Genomic DNA, 16859 nt, shown 5'->3' on the forward strand with positions numbered 1-16859 from the left:
GAGTAGCAAGGACTACAGGTGCACTTTACCACACCCAGCTAATTTATTTTAATTTTAATTTTTGTAGAGATATCTGCAGCCTCTGGGCTCAAGCAATGCGCCAATCTTGTCCTCCCAAGGTGCCAGGATAATAGCTGTGAGCCACTGCACCCAGCCACGAAGATGTTTATAAAATATTTGGAGAATGCATGGTGTACGTGGGAGGACTAAGTAATTCTTTAATTTCAAATTTCCATTCACCATCAGTTAGTTGATGAGTTTGGGAGCAAGAGGAAGGGTTGAAAAGAACAAGTGAATGAATATGCACCAAAGCATATTCGGAAAGCAAAAGAAATATTAAAGGAATAAAAAGTAGAACGTATGAGACAAACTCAAAGGAGTTCACTTTTTTTTTTTTTTTTTTTGAGACAGAGTCTCGCTCTGTCACCTAGGCTGGAGTGCAGTGGCGCGATCTCCACTCACTGCAACCTCCGCCTCCCGGGTTCAAGCAATTCTCTGCCTCAGCCTCCCGAGTAACTGGGATTACAGGCACCCACCACCACGCCCGGCTAATTTTTTTGTTATTTTTAGTAGAGATGTGGTTTCACCATCTTGGCCAGGCTGGTCTTGAACTCCTGACCTCATGATTCACCTGCCTCAGCCTCCCAAAGTGCTGGGATTACAGGCATGAGCCACCACGCCTGGCCAGGAGTTCACTTTAATATTGGTTTGTACCCAAACTACTGTACAAGCTGTGACTAGATTAATAATTGTCTTTGAGTGCAGGAGAGTTATTTTAAGGAGGTGAAAACAAGAGAAGATTGTTTGCCTAGTGCCCTGGCCGGATGCTGTTTTGCTGGGAAGACGGAGCCAGGTCTAAATGGGATTGTTCTGGATCACACCAGCCTGAGGTCATCTCTGGTTCAGAAGCTGATGGGCAGGGCAAGGAATCCTGGCCTCTAGGAAACCCTTTAACTGTGTAGTTAGATAAAATAAACTCCTCACCCTGCATTCGTCTGCCTGCCCAGGAGTCTCTAGAACAAACCTGAATTTTTGAGAATCTAGTAGGCTCTTGTAACCGAAAACATAAACCACCACCATTTCTTCATCAACCCAGAAAACAGTGAGAGATTAAGTGGTTTAAATTGAAGAAGTGGCTCTCCCTCTCCCTCTCCCTCCCCCTCCCCCTCTCCCCCCTCTCCCTCTCCCCACGGTCTCCCTCTCCCTCTCTTTCCACGGTCTCCCACTGATGCCGAGCCGAAGCTGGACTGTACTGCTGCCATCTCGGCTCACTGCAGCCTCCCTGCCTGATTCTCCTGCCTCAGCCTGCCGAATGCCTGCGATTGCAGGCGCGCGCCACCACGCCTGACTGGTTTTCGTATTTTTTTGGTGGAGACGGGGTTTCGCTGTGTTGGCCGGGCTGGTCTCCAGCTCCTAACTGCGAGTGATCCGCCAGCCTCGGCCTCCAGAGGTGCCGGGATTGCAGACGGAGTCTGGTTCACTCAGTGCTCAATGGTGCCCAGGCTGGAGTGCAGTGGCGTGATCTCGGCTCGCTACAACCTCCACCTCCCAGCCGCCTGCCTTGGCCTCCCAAAGTGCCGAGATTGCAGCCTCTGCCCGGCCGCCACCCCGTCTGGGAAGTGAGGAGCGTCTCTGCCTGGCCGCCCATCGTCTGGGATGTGAGGAGCCCCTCTGCCTGGCTACCCAGTCTGGAAAGTGAGGAGCGTCTCTGCCCGGCCGCCATCCCATCTAGGAAGTGAGGAGCACCTCTTCCCGGCCGCCATCCCATCTAGGAAGTGAGGAGCGTCTCTGCCCGGCCGCCCATCATCTGAGATGTGGGGAGCACCTCTGCCCCGCCGCCCCGTCTGGGATGTGAGGAGCGCCTCTACCCGGCCGCAACCCCGTCTGGGAGGTGAGGAGCGTCTCTGCCCAGCCGTCCCGTCTGAGAAGTGAGGAGACCCTCTGCCTGGCAACCGCCCCATATGAGAAGTGAGGAGCCCCTCCGCCCGGCAGCCACCCCGTCTGGGAAGTGAGGAGCATCTCTGCCCGGCAGCCACCCCATCCGGGAGGGAGGTGGGGGTCAGCCCCCGCAAGGCCAGCCGCCCCGACCGGGAGGGAGGTGGGGGGGTCAGCCCCCCGCACGGCCAGCCGCCCCGTCCGGGAGGGAGGTGTGGGGGTCAGCCCCCCGCCCGGCCAGCCGCCCCGTCCGGGAGGTGAGGGGCGCCTCTGCCTGGCCACCCCTACTGGGAAGTGAGGAGCCCCTCTGCCCGGCCAGCCGCCCCGTCCGGGAAGGAGGTGGGGGGGTCAGCCCCCCGCCCGGCCAGCCGCCCCATCCGGGAGGGAGGTGGGGGGGTCAGCCCCCCGCCCGGCCAGCCGCCCCGTCCGGGAGGGAGGTGTGGGGGTCAGCCCCCCACCCGGCCAGCCGCCCCGTCCGGGAGGTGAGGGGTGCCTCTGCCCGGCCGCCCCTACTGGGAAGTGAGGAGCCCCTCTGCCCGGCCAGCCGCCCCGTCCGGGAGGGAGGTGGGGGGGGGGTCAGCCCCCTGCCCGGCCAGCCGCCCCATCCGGGAGGTGAGGGGCGCCTCTGCCTGGCCGCCCCTCCTGAGAAGTGAGGAGCCCCTCTGCCCAGCCAGCCGCCCCGTCCAGGAGGGAGGTGGGGGGGTCAGCCCCCCGCCCGGCCAGCCGCCCTGTCCGGGAGGTGAGGGGCGCCTCTGCCCGGCCGCCCCTACTGGGAAGTGAGGAGCCCCTCTGCCCAGCCACCACCCCGTCTGGGAGGTGTACCCAACAGCTCATTGAGAACGTGCCATGATGACAATGGCGGTTTTGTGGAATAGAAAGGGGGGAAAGGCGGGGAAAGGATTGAGAAATCGGATGGTTGCCATGTCTGTGTAGAAAGAGGTAGACACGGGAGACTTTTCATTTTGTTCTGTACTAAGAAAAATTCTTCTGCCTTGTGATCCTGTTGATCGGTGACCCTACCCCCAACCCTGTGCTCTCTGAAACATGTGCTGTGTCCACTCAGGGTTAAATGGATTAAGGGTGGTGCAAGATGTGCTTTGTTAAACAGGTGCTTGAAGGCAGCATGCTCGTTAAGAGTCATCACCGGCCGAGGCGGGCGGATCACGAGGTCAGGAGATCGAGACCATCCGGGCTAAAACGGTGAAACCCCGTCTCTACTAAAAATACAAAAAATTAGCTGGGCGCAGTGGCGGGCGCCTGTAGTCCCAGCTACTTGGGAGGCTGAGGCAGGAGAATGGCGTGAACCCGGGAGGCGGAGCTTGCAGTGAGCCGAGATCCCGCCACTGCACTCCAGCCTGGGCGACAGAGCGAGACTCTGTCTCAAAAAAAAAAAAAAAAAAAAAAAAAAGAGTCATCACCACTCCCTAATCTCAAGTACCCAGGGACACAAACACTGCGGAAGGCCGCAGGGTCCTCTGCATAGGAAAACCAGAGACCTTTGTTCACTTGTTTATCTGCTGACCCTCCCTCCACTATTGTCCTATGACCCTGCCAAATCCCCCTCTGTGAGAAACACCCAAGAATGATCAATAAAAAAATAAAAATAAAAATAAAAATAAACAAAAACAAAACTGGACACCCTACTACCCATACCCAGTTTAAGATACAGATTACAACCAACACCGTTAAAGCCCTTTTGCATGCCCTTCTCCATCCCAGCCCCCTCCTAAATTTTGTTTATAATGATCTCGCTTTTCTTCATAATTTTACCTCCAAAATATGCATCTGTAAACAATATGCTGTTTTTGCAAGCTTTTGAACATTATATAAAATAAATCATACTGCATATAAAAAAATAAAATAAAATAAATTGAAGAAGTGATTCAGAAAAGGCGTAAAGAAGAACCTTAAAATCAAAAAAGGATTAGACATTAAATCAGGTTACAGATGAAATTCTTGTTAATGACAATCTCAAATATTGGACAACCTTATGTTTTACATAAATTCTCACATCACTATCACAGCAGCACAAGGATCCAGGTATTATGATTCCCATCTATAAGTGAGGAAATAGACTTAAGATTAAATGACTTGCCCAAGAGTATGCACCAAGCCAGGTCTAGCTGACACTAAAGCACGCACTCCTAACCTCTCCACTAAGCTGCTTTGTTGAACTCTGTGAAGGAAATCATAGGATGTAAATATAGCTCCATCTAGACAGACAAGAAGACATGAGATACCAGTGGTGGGATGTCTGAGATTCTGAGGAGTTAGAAATGAAGGAGAGGAAATTTTTATACCCTCTCTCTGGTCCCTGGTCTTATATTTATGAAATTCCTACTTTCAGCAAAGAAAAAAGTCTGAATGGGGGACCTGCTAAGAGCAGAGAAAATCCCCCCAGGGATCATTTTAGGCCACTGCTTATAAAAGAACAAAAATAAAATGGGAGGAACTCCAGAACCAAAGTCCTAGAGTCCCTATTTGCTTGTGAATGAAAGAGACTAGTATGTAAATAAGAGCTTTGCATAAGCCAGACATTCTTTCAAGTCCAGTTTATCTGCAGTATGAGTCACTTCCTTTTTAAAAGCAAGAACTAAAAGAGAAAGAGGCACATAGTCATTACCCAGCACAAACCTTCTTAACAGACCTTTTCTTCCTATTCAAATTGCAAGAAGGTAAAAGACTCTTGCTCTAACAAAACAGCAACATCATTTTGCATATAGTGTATACACTGTTTGGCCAGTTAATACCCTCCTTCAGCAGAGGGAAATGAACAAGTGAGATTAACAGGCAGATGAGATGATACAAAGCAAGCACAGGTCCAGCCAGGGTTAACCTGACACAAAGGAATCTGAATAACAAGAAGCCTTTGAATGACTCAGGTAAGGTTTATCTCCTCCAAAAGGAAGTTAACACCATGTTACTCACAGTAGCAAAATTACTCATGAACTTTGGAGGAAGTCTCAGAGAAGGCTATGGTCAGAAAATGGAAAAGGAAACAAGCCACAGGCTCATCTTCAGATGAGGACTCTGCACAGGGCTTGACCTTTCAATCGAAGAACAACCACAGTAGTATTCTGAGATGGCCAAGTGTATGGGAAAGTGACTGCTTCTCTCCCACTCCAATGTCTACTGTAAGTCTTGTTCAGCCCCGAGACAGATTTACCAGAGCTGATTCATTTTGCAGGAGTTGAAGACTAAATTTGAAGAGTAAAGTAGGAAGGAAGAGAGCAGGTACGTAGAAACCGAAGGACATTCCTATTACCTTGGGAGCTCTAGAGGCCTGATTCATCCTTTCTCTAAGCCCTTCATATGAAACTATGTCCGGCAAAGTCTCAGACTCACCCAACCCTTCCCATGTCCACATTCACAGCTAACAGGAGCCACCAGCACCAAAGTTTAAAGGCCTTGGGAGGCCTGACATAATACAACAATATTTTATTGAGTACCTACTATGTGCTAAGCACTGTGCTAGGTGCCAAGGTTACAACCATAAGCAAAATAATAGATCATTTTCCATTCTCTGGGTGCTACAGTTCAATGGGAGACACTGACAGAGTGGTGCTTCCAATGCCAATGCTAAATGCTCTAATGTGGGTGGAGGAGGTGGAACAGGTTATTCTGAGAGCTCAAGGAAGGGCGAAGGGGACAATCTTCTCAGGAAATAGTGTCCTCCAAGCTGAGACCTAAAGGATGAAGTGGAAGCAAAGAAAAGACTTCCAGAAGGGGAGACTCAAGAGAAAGCCGGAGCTTTGACTCTGGGTATACAGAAAAACTGGAATGCCTTAGATCCATCTCATACAAGAAAGGAAACCGTGTCACCTCAGAATGGAGTGTTTTTCTCTTTTTAGTGTTTTATTAAGTAATCCTCCTCATGGGTTGTGAGGAAAACCCTACCCAGGAAGCAGCAGTCTTTTGCTCTCTCAACAAGAATTTTCCCTAACTTTGCTTATCTGGTAATTGGTGAATCTGAAGATTGTTCTTATCTGATAAGATTTCAGAGTATTAGGAAGACATTCCAATTCTTCCTGACTTTATCAAAAATGTTTTTGAATGTACTGTTAAGACTAGATACGTGGGCCGGGCATGGTAGCTCACGCCTGTATTCCCAGCACTTTGGGAGGTGGGCAGATCACAAGGTCAAGAGATCCAGACTATCCTGGCCAACATGGTGAAACCCTGTCTCTACTAAAAATAAAAAAAATTAGCTGGGTGTGGTGGCACTCGCCTGTAGTCCCAGCTACTCAGGAGGCTGAGGCAGGAGAATTGCTTGAACTTGGGAGGCAGAGGTTGCAGTGAGCCGAGATCGCACCACTGCACTCAAACCTGGCGACAGAGCGAGACTCCATCTCAAAAAAAAAAAAAAAAAAAAAAAACTACACATATGATGGCCGGGCACGTGGCTCACTTCTGTAATCCTAGCACTTTGGGAGGTCGAGGCGGGTGAATCACCTTGAGGTCAGGAGTTCAAGATCAGCCTGGCCAACATGGTGAAACCCTGTCTCTACTAGCAATACAAAAATTAGCTGGTTATGGTGGTGCATGCCTGTAGTCCCAGCTACTCAGGAGGCTGAGGCTCGAGAATCGTTTGAACCTGGGAGGCAGAGGTTTCAGTGAGCAGAGATCATGCCACTGCACTCCAGCCTGGGCGACAGACTGAGTCTTCTTCTCAGAGAAAAAAAAAAGAAAAGACTAGATATGTGATTATCACATGCACAAAATAAATAAATTTAAAAGCACATATATAGGCACATGGAAACAAAGTTAAAAACAGAGTCGTAGGACAACATAGGTGAAATTCTAAAAATAATAACAACAAACATTTATTGAATGCTTGTCCTGTATCATCTACATTTTCTAATTTTTTTATATATGTTATGTCAATTACTGCAATTTACATAGTACAGTTAACCCTTGAACAACACGGGTTTGAATCCTGCAGGTACATTTATGTGCAAATTCTTGTCAATAAATATGCTTGGCCCTCCATATCAGGTTATGTATCTGCAACCAAACAGTATTTGTGGGATGCAAATATGGAGGGACAGCCAGCTTTTCTTACCCACAGTTCTGCAGGGCCCACTGCAGATCTTAAGCATGCATGGATTTTGGTATCCACAGGCAGTCTTGGAATCAATTTTCCTGTGAATACCAAGGCAAGACTATTATAGGTTCTACTGATATCTCTATTTTACATATGGGTTAACTAAGGCACAGAGAGTTTAAGCAACTTGCCCAAGATCATACAGCTAGTGTAGAATCAGGATTTGAACTCAGAGTCCATGAGTTTATCTGCAAAGAAAGCCAATCAGGGCAAAGATACCGGCCAGTTCTATGTGGGCTGGAGCTAAACTGAAAGTCTCTCTATCTACCAAGTATCTTAAGCAACACAAACTGTACCTGTTCCACCTGTTAAATCCTGAAGGCTGAAAACTCCTGAAATGTCCAGATCCCTTCCCAAATTCCTTGAACTATGTTATTTCCTTTGGGAACCCCTACATTCTTTCATAAAAAAGAACAGGTCTGATGTGGTGACTCACATCTGTAACCCCAGCACTTTGAGAGGTCAAGGCTGGAAGACTGCTTGAGGCCAGGAGTTTGAAACCAGCCTGAGCACCATAGCGAGGCCCAGTTTCCACAAGAAACGAAATTATTTTAATTAGCTGAGCATGGTCACACATGCCTATGTCCCACCTACTCAGGAAGCTGAGGTGGAAAGATCACTTGAGCCCAGGAGTTTAAGGCTGCAGTGAGCCATGATCCTGTCACTGTGCTCCAGCCTGGGCAACAGAGCGAGACCCTGTCTCTATTTAAAAAAAAAAAAGTAAGAAAAGAATAATTTTTGGTCACTGGAACTGTTGCTTCAGGATGACCATGATTACGTTAGATTCATCAAGTTCTTCACACAAAACATGTTAAGTTTGCTTTTCTGAGGAACATTCAAAATAATTTTAAGTGAATACTAAATCTTTACTTGAAGGAATTAAGGCAGCTAGTTGTAATGTGGGAAAGTCATCTAAATAATTTGTGTACTACTCAATTCTAAATAATTTGTGTACTACTTGAAAGAATGACTTTAAAAAGAAACTTAAAATATTTTTTCCCTTTGGTAAAAACTGTTCTAAGTTGAAGATTTATTTGACTACTCACAGTAAAATGGTGCCTGTAACTTTTTAAAATTTTTTTGAGATGCCAGTTACAGGCCATTTTGTACAGGTCATGCTGCTATGTGAACAAAATGCTGAAATGTCTAAAGTGGTAAGAATTTTAATTTGTCTGTATCATTTTATTTTCAAATTTAGTGCCATTTTGCTAATTAAAAAAAATAATCTGGGGGAATGTTTTTAAGAATATTTATCTGCTTTGGGTTGCAAATAACAGAAATTCCTTCCTCAAAGTTGCTCAGCAGAAGAGAAACAGGTGCTTCTCTGGCTAATAGTAGCATCTAGCCTTGTAGATTGACTCTGACTGAGCCCTTGCAGATCTTTAATTTTTTCTGTATATTCAGCTAGAAATACACATTGCCACTATAACAGTCATTTTAAAAAACAAAAATAAAAAACCTGACCACCTGACCAACTCTCTTGTTCTAAGAGTTGATAGCTCACAGATCATTTCCATTTTCCCCAAATAAATCAAAGCTGGATGAGATGTGCTCAGAAAAGGACTTTGTAAACACTGCTTATTTGAAATAACTGAGCCTCTGTGATAACATTTAATAATACCTGCAGAGAACTGGGCGCGGTGGATCACAACTGTAATCCCAGCACTTTGGGAGGCCGAGGCAGGGCGATCGCTTGAGGTCAGGAGTTCAAGGCCAGCCTGACCAACATGGTGAAACCCCATCTCTACTAAAAATATAAAAATTAGCCAGGTGTGGTGGTGCATGCCTGTAATCCCAACTACTTGAGAGACTGAGGCAGGAGAATTGCTTGAACCCGGGAGGCAGAGGTTACAGTGAGTGAGATCGTGCCACTGCACTCCAGCCTGGGTGACAGAGCGAGACTCTGTCTCAAGAAATAATAATAACAACAATAATACCTGCAGAACAGATGAACTTTAATGTTCAGGTAAGCAGCTGTGAAGGTGTCTATATTCAGAAGTCCATATTCTAAAGACAAAAAAAGCACTAAAGCCTGAAGAGTGGAAATGCTGCTAGAAACTGGTTTGAACAATTTCAAACCCCAATTTTTTTTAAATTTGAAAATGTTTTATTGAGAGTAAAGATTTTTCATTATTTGTATTTACTTTTAATTCCTTACTAATCAAAACGGAAACAAATAATAAAAATATTTACCTTTAGGAAGCTTTTTTTTTTTTTTTTTGAGATGGAGTCTCTCTTTGTTGCCCAGGCTGGAGTGCAATGGCGCCATCTCAGCTCACTGCAGTCTCCACCTCCTGGGTTAAAGCAATTCTCCTGCCTCAGCCTCCCGACTAGCTGGGATTACAGGCACCTGCCCCCAGGCCCGGCTAATTTTTTGTATTTTTAGTAGAGACAGGGTTTTGCCATGCTGGCCAGGCTGGTCTCAAACTCCTGACCTCAGGTGATCTGCCCGCCTCGGCCTCCCAAAGTATTGGGATTACAGGTGTGAGACACCGTGCCCGGCCTCTTTTTTTTTTTTCTTTTGAGACAGGATCTCACTCTGTCACCCAGGCTGGAGTGCAGTGGCACAATCATGGCTCACTGCAGCCTTAACTGCCCAAGACCAAGCAATCCTCCCACCTCAGCCTCCAGAGTGGCCAGGACTACAGGTATGCACCACTACACTCAGCAAATTTTTAAATTTTTTGTAGAAATGGGGTCTCACTATGTTGCCAAGCTGCTCTTGAGCTCCTGGACTCAAGCAGTCCTCCCACCTCAGCCTTCTAAAATGCCAGGGTTACAGGTGTGAGCTACTGCACCTGGCCTAGGAAGCTTTTAATAAGAGTTACAAACAGTTTTGTAAATCTGAGAAGTTTATGTGTTTGTCCATTTGAAACTATTCTAAATTCTGATTTAGATGCCTGCGAACATTATTGAGTACAAGGAATGTCAGTCTTAAAGATAAAAATAACTTCCATATTGATTAGTAAAATCATGTTAAAAATTATATTGCAATTCTACATTTTTATTTTTTAACCAATTCTAATTTGCCAATCATGGAAGTATAGAATTTTCTTCTTGGTCTTTAATTTTTAATACATGACTTTAAAAACTAAATATTCCCTCTTTAGTCAAATACTGGTTGATACTCCATCTTGGGAAACAGATTGCTATAGGAACTCCTAAAGTAAGGAGTATAATGCTTACCCCAATTTTTAAACAAAGGCAATGCAATATTTATGAAACAATAGATTTGGAGAGCAAAAAGTGATGAATACTGTTTTTTAAAACATACTAAACTCACTTGTTATTTTCTATCTTACCCACTGCCCTCGATGAGAAAAAATTGAAAATGTTTCCTGATAGTTCATTTATGCGCAGCTCTAAGCAGTAATTTAATTACTTAACTATGGAATGGTTATTCTAAAGCAATAATTTAATTACTTAACTATGGAATGGTTATTCTAAAAAAATCCTAGATTGCTGTGAACTATGGAATGTCTATAAAAATCATTAGCATTGTTTTGGTTTTAAATATTTGAAACACTAAGAAAAACATTTGAAGCTCATTTGTCATGATCTTTTTTTTTTTTTTTTTTGAGACAGGGTCTTGCTCTGTCACTGAGGATGGAGTCTTATGGTGCAATCACAGCTCACTGCAGCCTCAGCTTCCCCGGGCTCAGGTGATTCTCCCATCTCAGTCTCCCAAGTAGCTGGGACTACAGGTGCGCACCATCACATCCAGCTACTTTTTGTATTTTTTTAAAGGCAATGTCCTTCCACGTTGCCCAGGCTGATCTCAAACTCCTGGACTCAAGCAATCCTCCCGCCTCAGCTTTCCAAAGTGCTGGAAGTGCTGGGATTACAGGAGTGAGCCAGGATCCAGTCTCAGGTATTTATTTATATAAAGGGATCTTACCTCTCTGGATGGAAGAGACTGAAATGGAATTACCAAAGTCCAAATATGTGTATCTGTTGCATTTAAAGTAGCACAGTTTCTCATGCCTGTTTTTTTTAATAGGCAATTACAACCATTTGAGGTCATGCTGCATCTCCAAAATTTCAAAGATGCAACTGTATTACACCGAAAAGCAGTTGAATTCAAGTGGCCATTATTTAAGGGGTCAAATTTATTCATGCAATGAACAAACAATCCTGACTGAATTCAACTGTTTATGGTTCAGGTTGTTTGTTTTTGTTTTGTTTTGGAGACGGAGTCTCACTCTATCACCCAGGCTTCAGTGCAGTGGTGCAATCTTGGCTCACTGCAACCTCCACCTCCTGGATTCAAGCAATTCTCCTGCCTCAGCCTCCCGAGTAGCTGGGACTACAGGCACACACCACGACCCCGAGTGGTGTATTTTTTTAGTATTTTAGTAGAGACGGGGTTTCATTGTGTTGCCCAGGCTGGTCTCGCACTCCTGAGCTCAGGCAATCCACCTGCCTTGGCCTCCCACAGTGCTAGTATTACAGGCGTGAACCACCGCGCCTGGCCGGTTGTTTTCTTTTTTAAAGAACTGATTTCCTTCCAAACCAATTCAGTGTTTCTTCCCAAACCATTTATGTGAGTACATGTAACTTTTAACACAAAAGCTAGCAAAAACCCTATATTTACAAGACCTGTTGGTTGATAATAAGTACAAAACTACATAAACACAGATTTTTCCCTGTAGATAAAAATCCTAGATTGCTGTGAAGAAACCTCATTCACTTTAACTTCCTTTAAAAACAAGAACGGATTTCCATGCACTGATTTACACCAGGAAATAGTTTTGTTGGTTATTTACAAATGCTTTTGAAGAATGCAGGTGGGATTACACATGAGGCTGCCACAAAAATAAATGTTAGTAAAATCATGACTCTATTCAGCATTAATCAAAGAGCAGAAGAGAAGTTATTATGAAAAATCTTACTCAGCAAACAATAAAAGATAAAATTCCACTAGTTAAAGAGCAATTTTAAAATAGTTACAAACATGAGTCAAATAATGAACACATGTTAACACATATTCAATTCACTGGTGGGGAGCCAGAAGCATGATCAAGCTGGTTTAAAGGCCATTTGGGGACCTGGGTACTCAGAAAAATTAGTGAAATTTGTAAAAGAGAATGTATGAATAAGATTACTAGTTAAGTCAAAAGAGGTTAATGTCCTACAGGGCAATGAAACCATAATCTTTAGAGTTATCTTTTATACCGGACATAAACCTAAATGAACATGTGACCTCACAGAGTCTAGGCCTTGTCAGTAGTAAATAATGAGTAATCCTTGGTGGCCTTTTAAACATTTTCCCATTGTGACATTGATAAGACATGCTGTTCCTCTTCTTTTTTTTTTTTTTTTTTTCTGAGACAAAGTCTCACTCTTTTTGCCAAGGCTGGAGTGCAATGGTGCGATCTCGGCTCACTGCAACTTCTGCCTCCCAGGTTCAAGCGATTCTCCTGCCTCAGCCTCCCGAGTAGCTGGGATTACAGACATCTGCCACAGTGCCCGGCTAATTTTTGTATTTTTAGTAGAGATAGGGTTTTACCATGTTGGCCAGGCTGGTCTCGAACTCCTGACCTCAGGCAATCTGCCCACCTCGGCCTCCCAAAGTGCTGGGATTACAGGCATGAGTCACCACGTCCGGCCCCCTCTTTTTTCTTTATTTCCAAGTTTGCAATTTTTTAAAAAAACCTCTGAAGCTGTGCTTAAATAAAAATTAGATTCTAGTACTACACATCAGAAGAGCTATTATTGAAAAGCCATTCCTAAATTTTGGGTTGTTCTCACCCCTGATTTGAAACAACGATTCCCCATCTCACAAGCCACCAAGTTTGCCTCCCTTTTGTCTCTCCCTATTCTAGTAAAGCCCTGAAAGTTTACTGCGAAAGCCATCTGGTTCTGTCCTCTGCACACGAGCACAGATTACACAAATTGCTTTCCCACTTTTAGAAGAAATATCACAATCTGCCACACTAACGTCAAACAAATTCCACCTGAGAGAAAAATGCTTCTTTTAAGCAAACATGAGTCTTCACTCTCTTGTCCTGGCCATGCACTAATGACCAATCAGCTACCTTTCTTAGTAATCACCTTCATTTTATTGGAAAGCCAATACTACTCTCCAAGCAAAATAATCACTGTACCTTTAACTTCCTCCTAGGTTTAGTTTTCCAATTCTAAATTCTCTTTGGGGACCCTTTTAAATTTGTCTTAATCTGATAGATGAAAATGCTCTCCTAAAACTCCTAGGACAAGCACTCCCACAAATACTGAAATAGATTACATTTCCTTTGCCTGTTTATACCTCCTGTCAGAGTAAAACATGCAAAACTCAGAAAAGAATGTAAATGAAAAACAATAGCAAAAAAATAAATAAATAAAAAGCAAGTAATTGCTTTGGGCTGGGAATTTGCTGTTTGTTGAATGTGCTGGATTTTTTGGTGGGTGGTAGTGCCCCTGATCTGCTACAGGAGTCCATGGCACCAAGCTGGGAAGCACCGGCCTCTGCCTACAGCACACGCACTCCAGACTTCCTCATAAATGAGGCCCATGAAGACCAAAATGAAGGGAAAAGCCTAGCATGTAAATATCTCATTAGCCTGGGCCTGGGCTGGTTGCCCAGCACTGATTGGGTTCCCAGTGACTTCTTTTAGGATTGGGGCCAGGACTTATTTTTATGTTCGATCTTGAAGCAATTTATTCAGTTCCCACAAACCTCCTGGTATTGTGAAAACTTCAGAGTCCACAGTGGCAGTCTCTGAGAAGGGTGTTTGAGTAGACTAGCCAGGAGAGAGAAAGACAAAATGCCACAAAGACACATAATGAAGTAGAGAGCCGTACCCCTATTGGTGAGAACAGTCCAAGTTTTGATCTGCCAGTCAATCTCCAGAGCTAAATTCCCACACCAGCTTGAGTAATCAGCTGTCACACCCTCCAAGGGAAAACCTCCCATGTAGGAGGTCATGAGGGAAAAGAGGCAATGGACAGGGAAATTTCATGTACCGATCACTAACACATTCCCAACCCTGCACAAGGTGCTTTAGCTAAATTATTCTTCAAATTAACCCCATGAAGAAGGACAAGAAATAAGAACCTATAGCCACCGTGTCATCAACCCCCATGCTCACCTTTAATTCAATGAACAAACTCAGGCCATGTATAAAACTTGGGAAGCCAACTTCAGTGCCAGAATTAATTATGTAACTTGAATAAAACCAGATTTAATGATTCCTTTTCACTTGACTCCCATCACAGGCTCATTAGTAAGGACAGAAATTTACCCCAAAGTGAATCACACGTAAGAAGGGCTACTCAGCATTCTTGGAGGATGAATGGTAAATGTCCTCCCAGTTGCCTAGAGACGCTGAATATACAGACAGCTATGGCTCATGGAGGGATTTTTTTTTTTTTTCTCCCTCTGACCTCTAGCCAGACTTGGGCTGAATATCAAAGGCCAAGTTCTTGGTCACATTCATATCTCCCTGGGCCTCTAGAAAAAGGTTGAGTGGGTTAGCTGAGGTGCAATAGTCAGCACTTTTCAGCAGGCAGGAACCATCCGTGCTGAAGGAAAGATAGCACACAGGGTGCCCAAAGTCATAGGTTTCTTGAAAGTCACAGGATTTTTGAAGAAGACAGGAACTATGTTTTTTAACATATGCTACTAAAACTCCAACCTGTGATCCTAAGAAGCTGAGGATATGGAAAAAATCTGATGGTACTAAAGCTTTCCATTCCCAAAGGAAGCAATGACCTTTGACATTTATTCATTCAGTTATTTCTCCAACAGGTAGTTATTGAGAGGTTACTATAGACTAGAGACCATTCTAGGACATGGGCAGCAGTGAACAAGACAACAGTGACAAAAAGATTCTTTCGTTTTTCTAGTTAAAGTAATAAGTGCTTGGTGACAAAAACTATAAAATGGAGGTAAACTGGAAAGAGTAACCACCTGAATCCTCCCAACCAGGAAAAAAACAAAAACAAAAACAAAAAAACAACTGTTAACTTCATGGGGTGTACACTCTCCTTTTCAATCTATTTCTTTTTTTTTCCTCTTTTTTCTTTTTTAGAGATAGGATCTTGCTCTGTCACTCAGGCTGGAATACAGCGGCATAATGATAGCTCACTGCAGCCTCAAACTCATGGGCTCAAATGATTCTCCTGCCTCAGCCTCCTAAGTAGTGGGGACTACAGGTTCTCACCACCACACCTGGCTGCTTTTAATTCTTTGTAAAGGCGGGTCTCACTATATTGCCCAGACTGGTCTTAAACTCCCAGCCTCAAATGATCCTCAGGCCCTGGCCTTCCAAAGCACTGGGATTACAAGTGTGAGCCATATTTGCAGTCCAGTTAAAGACTAATTTCCTAATTCCAATAGTAAGACTAGTAAGACTTTTTTCTTTTTAACAAGTGAGTTAGACCCAATAGAAATGAAGAAAACAAAAAGGAAATTCAATGGATCCCCAAGCCCTCCTCACTCACCCCCTGGGCTGCTGGCCAGGAGAGAGCAAGTGCTGCAGCCCCCACAGCTCCCAGTTGACTGCAGGAATGCAGGGGGCAGCATCATGATAGCCTCAAATACCTACAGGCCCTGGTTCATAGCCTTGGGTTCACCTGCCCAGGCAGGGGAGAGAAAATTCCATCAGTGAGTATAACAACACACCGTCCTGCAGGCTTGACCCTTTTATCAGGTTACAGGCAGGGAGGCCAAAGCTTAACTCGGTGTGGTTACAGATCTTACGGAAAACAGCAGGCAAGTGTGGACTACTTGGCATCTATATAAATAACATGCAATTTCTTCCACACTATATATTACTTAAAGCTAATCGCATTATTATTCAAGTTAGCACTTCTGCCTAAATTCAATCTATTGCACTTAGGCACAGTTGCAAAACGTAAGGTCCTAGTTTTTAATTTAAGAGAAGTCTGGTACCCAAAGCTTTGCTTGTAGAGACCAAGCCCTACACAAAAGGAAATTATCTTAAACCATACCAGAGCATCATTTTAAATTCTTCTGTCAGTACACCGAAGTTTATTTTATCAATTGTCTTTTTTTCTTAAATTATCATCCAATTTTTTTTTTTTTAAACTATAACAGTCCTGCAGTGAACATCCTGGTAGCTAAATGTTTGTGAAACAGCTTTATTATGGCCTTAGGATAAATTATTTGAAGTAGAATTGTCAATTCAAATGGCATATACATTTTTACGGCTTTTGAAATCAAATTGCCAGATTGCTCCCTCAGAAAACTTATCCCAGTCTTTATCCCTGCTAGTCTTTTATGGAAGTGTTTATTTCCCTGTAACTTTCTCTACATTGGATATTACCATAAAACAAAATTGTTAATTTGATAGACGAAAAAAATAATTTCATGGTTTTCCTTTGTATTCCTTTATTAGTAATGAAGTGAAAGATATTTTTATATGCTTACTATTTACAGTTGTCCCTCAGTATCCATGGGGTATTGGTTCCAGGACCTCTTGCAGGTACCAAAATCTGCAAATACTCAGGTCTGCAATATAAAATGATACAGTATTTTCATATAACCTATGCACATTTCCCTGTATACTTTTTTTTATTTTTTATTTTTTGAGACGGAGTCTCGCTCTGTCGCCCGGGCTGCAGTGCGGTGGCGCCGTCTCGGCTCCCTGCAACCCTTACCTCCCAGGTTCAAGCGATTCTCCTGCCTCAGCCTCCTGAGTAGCCGGGATTACAGGCACCCACCATCACACCCGGCTAATTTTTATATTTTTAGTAGAAACAGGGTTTTGTCATATTGCCCGGGCTGGTCTTGAACTCCTGGCCTCAGGTGATCTGCCCGCCTTGGCCTCCCAAAGTGCTGGGATTACAGGCATGA

The 16859-nt window shown here is 44.1% G+C and overlaps 3 annotated features.

Moving 5' to 3' along the window:
- Positions 4771-4940: an enhancer, noted in NCBI's record as "active region_6671". NCBI's record gives its function as "activates an Ori minimal core promoter by ATAC-STARR-seq in GM12878 lymphoblastoid cells {active_cell/tissue: GM12878}" and the evidence as "EXISTENCE:reporter gene assay evidence [ECO:0000049][PMID:35858748]".
- Positions 4771-5086: a biological region, named in NCBI's record as "Sharpr-MPRA regulatory region 2424".
- Positions 4792-5086: a silencer, noted in NCBI's record as "tiled region #2424; HepG2 Repressive DNase matched - State 5:Enh". NCBI's record gives its function as "represses a minimal TATA promoter and a strong SV40 promoter by Sharpr-MPRA in HepG2 cells {active_cell/tissue: HepG2}" and the evidence as "EXISTENCE:reporter gene assay evidence [ECO:0000049][PMID:27701403]".

Source organism: Homo sapiens, chromosome 12, assembly GCF_000001405.40.
Source record: "Homo sapiens chromosome 12, GRCh38.p14 Primary Assembly".
Classification (NCBI taxonomy): domain Eukaryota; kingdom Metazoa; phylum Chordata; class Mammalia; order Primates; family Hominidae; genus Homo; species Homo sapiens.